The sequence below is a fragment of the Homo sapiens genome, chromosome 14, assembly GCF_000001405.40.
Source record: "Homo sapiens chromosome 14, GRCh38.p14 Primary Assembly".
In the NCBI taxonomy this organism is placed as follows: domain Eukaryota; kingdom Metazoa; phylum Chordata; class Mammalia; order Primates; family Hominidae; genus Homo; species Homo sapiens.
The window spans coordinates 92246890-92254657 of NC_000014.9; the positions used below are offsets into that span (position 1 = coordinate 92246890).

The following is a 7768-nucleotide window of genomic DNA, read 5'->3' on the forward strand; positions in this document are numbered from 1 at the left end:
ACACATTAAGCTAAATGTAAGTTTTGCTAACATATTCTCTCTTACTTGATTAATAATATTTGTGCTGGTTGGAACAATTGCTGAAAGAGCTTCAAGAATCCATTTTTCTTGTTTCTAAAGGACTTGGTTATGTTCTAGCTATGAGCCAACATTGAATTAAGCATTTTTTTCTTTAAATTCCTCCAAGCATTTATTTCCTGTGAAAGAACCATCAATTTCTTAGTCATCCTCACTTTCTCTTCACTTCTATGATAGCTTTAGAAGTCAGCTTTCTTGGCCGGGTGTGGTAGCTCATGCATGTAATCTCAGCACTTTGGGAGGCTGAGGCGGGAGGATCACGTGAGGTCAGGAGTTCGAGACCAGCCTGGCCAACATGATGAAACCCCACCTCTACTAAAAATACAAAAATTAGCCCGGCCTGGTGGCGCATACCTGTAATCCCAGCTATTCGGGAGGCTGAGGTAGAAGAATCGCTCAAACCTGGGAGGTGGAGGTTGCAGTGACCTGAGATCATGCCATTGCACTCCAGCCTGGGTGGCAAAAGTGAAACTCTGTCTCAAAAAAAAAAAAAAAAAGTCAGCTTTCTTTGTTCACTTTTCCATTTCACAACATCCTCTATGAGGCAGTACCATGGTTACGAGGGGAGGTTCTGGAGATACACAGTTTTGGCTCTGTCACTTGCTGTGTCATTGCAGGCAAGTCTCTTAACTTCTCTGGGTCCAGTTTCCTTATCTGTAGAATGGGGCTTGTTGTGGTTTCTACTCATAGGGCTGTCGTGAGGAATAAATGGAAGGATCTGCATACCTGGAACACAGCAGATGCTCAAAAATGTTAGATGCCATGATCAACGGTCATGGGAATAACAGAAATCAACAATGCCACACTAAAGGGCAGGTCTGGTCATTGACAGGTATACTCAAGGGCATCCTGGCATCCAAATTCTTGCCCCAACTAATGGGCAAATCACTGCATGCTCAATCTTCAGGGTTGCTCGTGAGTAGAGAAGACAGCAAGGATAGACTCTACTGGGTACTTCCTGCTGCAGAGGGAGAGCGCCAGGAGCCCCAGGGGACCTTTCTGTAATGACTCAGGGTCCTCCTCAGAAATCGCCCAGGTGCCACTGCCCAGGACTGGGATACAGGGGAGCCCTCGTAGGTCTCCAAGGCACGCGTTCAGAATGGGTGGGGCACTCGCATGTGATGAGTTCCTGTGCTGGCTTTCACAGCTTTCTGCCTTCTCTGTCCCTGCCAGATGTTGCTTGTTACCGTCAGTGTGCCTGCTTCCGGCCGCTGGCTTCCATGGGCTGGAGACTGGAGAGCGGAGCTGCTTAGAGTTTTCTGTAAAAGACAAGCCTTAGAGGGAGGGCCTGAGGGCTATGCCATGAGCAAAGCCTTGAGCTGTTTTAGGCTGTGTACTGGGGTGGAGACTGCTGTGGGCAAGGAGTTGACCTGGTCTCAAATCATTATTTAAAAATATTTTAAATATTGACTGGATGCAGTGGCTCACACCTGTAATCCCAGCACTTTGGGAGGCAGAGGTGAGTGGATCACTTGAGGCCAGGGGTTTGAGACCAATCTGGCCAACTTGGCAAAACCCCATCTCTTCTAAAAATACCAAAAATTAGCCGGGTGTGGTGGCACGTGCCTGTAGTCACAACTACTCGGGAGGCTGAGGCATGAGAATAGCTTGAACCCAGGAGGCAGAGGGTGCAGTGAGCCAAGATCACACCACTGCACTCCAGCCTGGGCGATACAGCGAGACTCCGTCTCAAAGAAATTTTTTAAAAAAATATATTGTATAGTAAAAATTGGCTTTTTTTCTTCCTTTGGTGTACAGTTCTATAAATTTTAACACACGTATAAATTTGTGGAACTACCACCACAATTAGGATACAGAACAGTTCCATCACCCCAGAAGGTTCCCCTTACAGACACACTCTCCCTCCACCCGTAAGTCCTGGCAGCCACTGAGCTGCTCTCACTACTACAGTTTTGTCTTTTTGAGGATGTTACATAAATGAAATCATATGTTATGTAAGTTTTTGAGATCAGCTTCTCTTCCTCGGCTTAAAGCCTTTGAGATTCATCCAAACTGTTAGGTATTAATAGCTCATTCCTTTTTACTACTGAGTTGTATCCCTTTCTATTGTTTAACCATTCACCAGGTGAAGAATATTTGCTTTTTTTTTTGAGCTATTATTTGATCACAAATAAAGCTGCTATCAACATTTGTGTGCGAGTTTTTGTGTGAATATAAGTGTTCATTTTTCTAGGGTAAATATCCAGGAGTGGGATTGTTTGATCCCATAGAAAATTCATGTTTAGGCTGGGCAAAGTGGTTCATGCCTGTTATCCCAGCACTTTGGGAGGCTGAGGCTGGCGGATCGCTTGAGCTTAGGATTTCAAAATTAGCCAGGCGTGGTGGTATGCACCTGTAGTCCCAGCTACTCTGGAGGCTGAGGCACGAGAATTGCTTGAGCCCAGGAGGCAAAGGTTGCAGTGAACTGAGATCATGCCACTGCACTCCAGTTTGGGTGACAGAGCAAGACCTGTACCCTGTGCTGGGATTATAGACATGAGCCACTTCGCCCAGCGCAAACATATTTTCTATATTTTCTATATATAGAAATATTTTCTATATTTTCTATAGGCTCAAACAATCCCACTCCTGGATATTTACCCTAGAAAAATGAACACTTACGTTCATACAAAAACTTGCACCCAAATGTTGATAGCAGCTTTATTTGTGATCAAATGATAGCTCAAAAAATCCAAATATTCTTCACCTGGTGAATGGTTAAACAATACGGAGGGATACAACTCAGTAGTTAAAAGGAATGGGCATTAATACCTAAAAAAAAAAAAGAAAAAGAAAAGAAAACGTATGTTTAACTTCATAAGAAACCACCAAACTATTTTCCATTCCCACCAGGAATGAGGGTTCTAGTTGCCCTGCATCCTTGGTCAGCACTTGGTTTTGTCTGTCTTTTTAATTATAACCATCACAGTGGGTTTGAATTGTTATTCCATTGTGGTTTTGATTTGCATTTCCCAAATAGCTAATGATGTTAGATACCTTATTTTGCCATTCTTATATTCTCTTTGATGAAGTATCTAAGTCCCTTGTATTTTAAAAAATTGAATTGTTGATTTTCTTATTGTTGAGTTTTCAGAGCTCTATGTATTTTGGATACAAGTCCTTTGTTGGATATGAAATTCAGCAATGCTCAGGCAAATTATTTAAGCACTTATGCCTCCCACCTTATTAAATGGGGGACAGTGCTATTTTCCTTACCCGTCTCGCTATGTTGCCGTAAGGATCAAATGGTAAAAGGAATGTGAAATTAGAAATTGGCAAGCGATTATCATTGCTGTTTGGATTACTCGGGAGTGGGATTACATTTCACTTGCTTATTTGTTCTTAGCTATGTTTTTCATATAGGTTCTTATGATGAATGGTCTGTGGCTAATGGTGTTTTTTAAATTTGCATAATATTATGCCCCATCCAAGCAGGTACTTGACACATTTAAAAGGTTCATGATAAAGGGGAATTGTACAGAGAAATGGCCTTGGCTGACAGTTGTGCTCTGGAGCACAATTTCCTCATAAAGAGCCCTTGAAGACTTGGCCAGGAAGGTGGTAGAGGTCGGAGGGTTGAACAGTTGGCATGAAGTGCTCCTCTTCACGCGCTCAGCCCAGACTTTAGAAAGCAGCTCCTGGCTGGGCGCGGTGGCTCATGCCTGTAATCCCGGCACTTTGGGAGGCCGAGGTGGGTGGATCACCTGAGGTCAGGAGTTTGAGACCAGCCTGGCCAACATGGTGATACCCCATCTCTACTAAAAATACAAAAATTAGTTGGGCATGGTGGCAGACGCCTGTAATCCCAGCTACTCAGGAGGCTGAGGCAGCAGAATTGCTTGAACCGGGAGGTGGAGGTTGCAGTGAGCCAAGATCACGGCACTGCACTCCAGCCTGGGCAACAAGAGTGAAACTCCATCTCAGAATAGAAAGAAAGAAAGGAAGGAAGGAAGGAAGGAAGGAAGGAAGGAAAGAAAGGAAAGAAAGAAGGAAGGAAGGAAGGAAAGAAAGAAAGAAAGAAAGAAAGAAAAAGAAAGAAAGGAAGGAAGGAAGAAAGAAAGAAAGAGAAAGAAAGAAAGAAAGAAAGAAAGAAATAAAGAAAGAAAGAAAGAAAGAGAGAAGCTCCTGCCACTGCCCAGGGGCGAGCCCAGTGCTCCTGCCCAGAGAGGCTCACCCGTCATCCCTGAGAATTAAAGAGCCGTGTTAAAGAGTGGATTTGCCACTTCCCCACGCGAAAGGAGGATCACTGGACTCCGTCCTCTGAAGCTCCCACTGCTTTGTGGGCTCCCTTGTGAGTGAGCCCAAGCTTGAGCCTGACTAGCTGGAGGCAAGAGTGGTAGAATATATGTGCTCATGTGGTGAACACAGCAGTGGCCTCTCCAATGCCCAGTCCGCCCCTGGCACAGGGGACAGTAGGACTTTAGTTTGAACAATCACCTTCAGTTCAAGGAGTGCTCCGGTGCCGGGGAGAATAATCCCATCTTCCTTGCTACTGACTAGTTCTGGAATGGGCATGTGTGACCTGATTCTGCCATAAAATGAGATGCAGGAAGTGGTTTGCTGAAAGTCTCTGGGAAAATGTTCTTCCATTTGTGGAGGGATGAGAAGCCAGATCCCTTCTCTCTCTGGCTCTCCTTATCTCTCTGTTTCTGTCCCTCTCCCTCTGTCTCTGTTTCTCTCTCCTCCTTTGCTGGGATGCTAGTAGTGGTGCTCATAGGGGCCCAGTCTTCTGCCATCAGTACTGAGAATGGAAGAACAGAGACCTGGAAAACAGCCAAGCCCTTAGTTACAGCCTCAAACTGTGCAGTCCACTAGCCCGAAGCCCCCATCTGGATGTCCTTCTAAGCAGCCAACACTCTTCTTTCCTGGTTAGCTCATTTGAGTTGGGATCTTTATCGTTTGCACCCCAAAGTGTAATAATGGTCATAAGCTGTTCACCTCCGCAAATTCAGGAGCCCTCCTTCATTGAGTAGTTAGGCTTCAGAGATGCATCAGAGAAGTTACGGGGGTGGAGGACCAAGGCAGACAACAATGATCTTTTTTCTGTTCAATGTCTTGACATCAAGATAGTTTTATGGATCAAGTCTTAGCTTTTTTTTTTTTTTTTTTTTCTATTTTAGCATGGAGGCATTAAAAAATCACCTAAACCTTATTAACTTGGGTTACATGGTGGGGAGATTCTGCAATACAGCACCTAGTCAGAAGAGTGCAGTTTTCTTCTATTTTAAAGTGCACAGAAACTGGACCAACCCCGGGTGGTGGTCCTGCTGGGCCTGCTTTAGGAAAGACACAATTAACATATTGTTGCTATGCCAACACTAATAATTTCTTTGGGGATTTTTTTCTTCACATATATAGGCATTGTGGCTGAGTCAGTGGTGTAAACGAGGTAGCAGTGGCGGTGGAGGGGCGTTTAACCTATTTCAGGGAACAGACTGTTTTCAAGGACTTAAGTGCTGGCCATTGGCAGAAGCCCACGGTGTTAATTATGCACTCATTAAAGCAGGCTCTGCAACGCCAGCCCTGGCACTGCCCAAATGTTCACAACTTTTCCATCTGAGGAATCCTGACGAACAATGCTCCGAGGCATACGCACGGGAAGGCGGTGGTGCAGGCGGCTGGACTCACGTTCACTGGCGACTGCACAGCAACGCATATGAGATGCTTTGGAAGAAACTTGTCATGCCCGTGTATTAGCAGAGGATTTCTCATTTGACGGAGTGTGGCTGTGGCTGAATTTGGGCTTTTTTTGTAACCACTAGTTACCAAGGCTCTATGTGTGTGTGTGTGTGTTTGTGTGTGTGTGTCTGTGTGTGTGTGTGTGTGTGTGTGAGAGAGAGAGAGAGAGAGAGAAAACAGAAGAAGGAGGGCAAGAGGTACAAAGAGAGAAGTGGAGGGGAAGAGGGAGTAGGAGAGAGAGAGAGAGACAGAGAGGGAGAAAGAGAGAGAGAGAGACAGACAGAGAGAAAGAGAGAGAGAGAGGGCATGATCATCAGCCAGCCAGCCAGCAAGAGCCTGCTGGGTTTGTGGGGTTTCTCCCAAGCCCCCAAGCCCCTGAAGGAGACTATAAGTCCTTGGCCCTCTACCCCACTCCAGTTTTCCTCGCTGACCTCTGAGATTGTTACCAGAAATCTTGAGGACAGGAGCAAATCAGGCTATTGTTTTCCTTAGCAGGAAAGACTCTCATTTTGAGAAAAGCAGCCACCTAATATTTAAGGTGCTGCATGGAGCAGGAGACGGGGTAGGTCCCTTTTAATAAATATAAAATGACAGGCGGGAGCGGGGATCCCTCAGCTCGTGCCAGGTGATAGAAGCATTTCCCTGAGCTACCTGAGATCCAGGTTTCCCTCTTTCTTCCTTCATCAAGTATGTCTTGAGCACCATCTGTGTGTCAGGCACTGTGCAGTGTGGATGCAAATGAATGAAGCGCAGAACCTGCCCTTGCGTGTGTGCCCTGAGGGACACACACACACACACACAGCTCTAATGTGTGTGGAGATGCACAAGGAGTCAGGAGCACAGAGGAGGTGGAGGACTCAGGCTGGAATTTGAAGGTCAAGTAGGCGTTCCAAGCACAGCAGGGGAGAGCCAACAGCGTGGGCAAAGGCTTGGCAGTGTATGCGTAGGCGGCTCATTTGGGGACCGAGACGGCCCTCACCTGGCCATGTGGTGCGGTGGTTCAGAGCATGGGCTCTGCGGGTGGATTGGCCAGGTTTGGAGACTGCAGGACCTTAGGCACTTTAACCTGTAAGTCTTTTCTGTAAAGCAGGCATAATGATCCTCCTGGCAGGGGGCCGTGATGATTAAGTAACATAATGCGGATGAAGTTCTCAGAGCGGTGCCTGGCAGGTACTGAGCGTGTCATTCATTCCTGGGGTTTCATCTGCATCACTTCGCAGAGGACCCTGCCTGTGCTTTGTTACTTCCTGAAGCCGATACTACCCTTGATTCTTCCTCAAGCCGCCTTGGTCCTGTTGGGGAACCAAAAGTCTTGATCATGGAAATGATAACCTATATGTTTTTTTAAAGTGAAGTTCAGAGAGGCATTATGCTGAATTGAAACTATCTATATAAATTCATAATCTCAAAAAGAAATGTTCCAGCTTTGTCACTACCAGGAGTAAGTCCCAGTGCAGCCAGATTTTGATTTTTTTTTTTTTTGAGATGGAGTCTTGCTCTTGATGCCCAGGCTGGAGTGCACTGACGCGATCTTGGCCCATTGCAACCTCCACCTCCCGGGTTCAAGCGATTCTCCTGGCTCAGCCTCCCGAGTAGCTGGGATTACAGGCTCCCGCCACCATGCCCATGTAATTTTTGTATTTTTAGTAGAGACAGGGTTTCATCATGTTGGCCAGGCTTGTCTCGAACTCCTGACCTCAGGTGACCTGCCCATCTCGGCCTCCCAAAGTCCTGGGATTACAGGCGTGAGCTACCGCACCCAGCCCGGATTTTGATCTTTAACACTTGTTCTCTATTAATGGAATCAGGACTCCACAGATTTCTTGTGTTGAGGCAAGAGGAAATCAGGACAGAAAGTTCTGGATCATCTTTACAGTCGCCAGAAAGGAAGAATGCTTTCAAGGATGCCAGGGGCATCCTAAAGGTGTTCACACGACAAGTCTGACAATTTGACCATCTAATAATGTGACTCATTAGAGCAAATACATGAAAGACCCTGAGCTCCTGACAA

General features: G+C 46.0%; 2 annotated features.

Moving 5' to 3' along the window:
• Positions 6201–6701: an enhancer, noted in NCBI's record as "NANOG-H3K4me1 hESC enhancer chr14:92719434-92719934 (GRCh37/hg19 assembly coordinates)". NCBI's record gives its function as "activates a minimal SCP1, AML or CMV promoter by ChIP-STARR-seq in naive H9 embryonic stem cells {active_cell/tissue: H9 hESC(naive)}" and the evidence as "EXISTENCE:reporter gene assay evidence [ECO:0000049][PMID:30033119]".
• Positions 6702–7202: an enhancer, noted in NCBI's record as "NANOG-H3K4me1 hESC enhancer chr14:92719935-92720435 (GRCh37/hg19 assembly coordinates)". NCBI's record gives its function as "activates a minimal SCP1, AML or CMV promoter by ChIP-STARR-seq in naive H9 embryonic stem cells {active_cell/tissue: H9 hESC(naive)}" and the evidence as "EXISTENCE:reporter gene assay evidence [ECO:0000049][PMID:30033119]".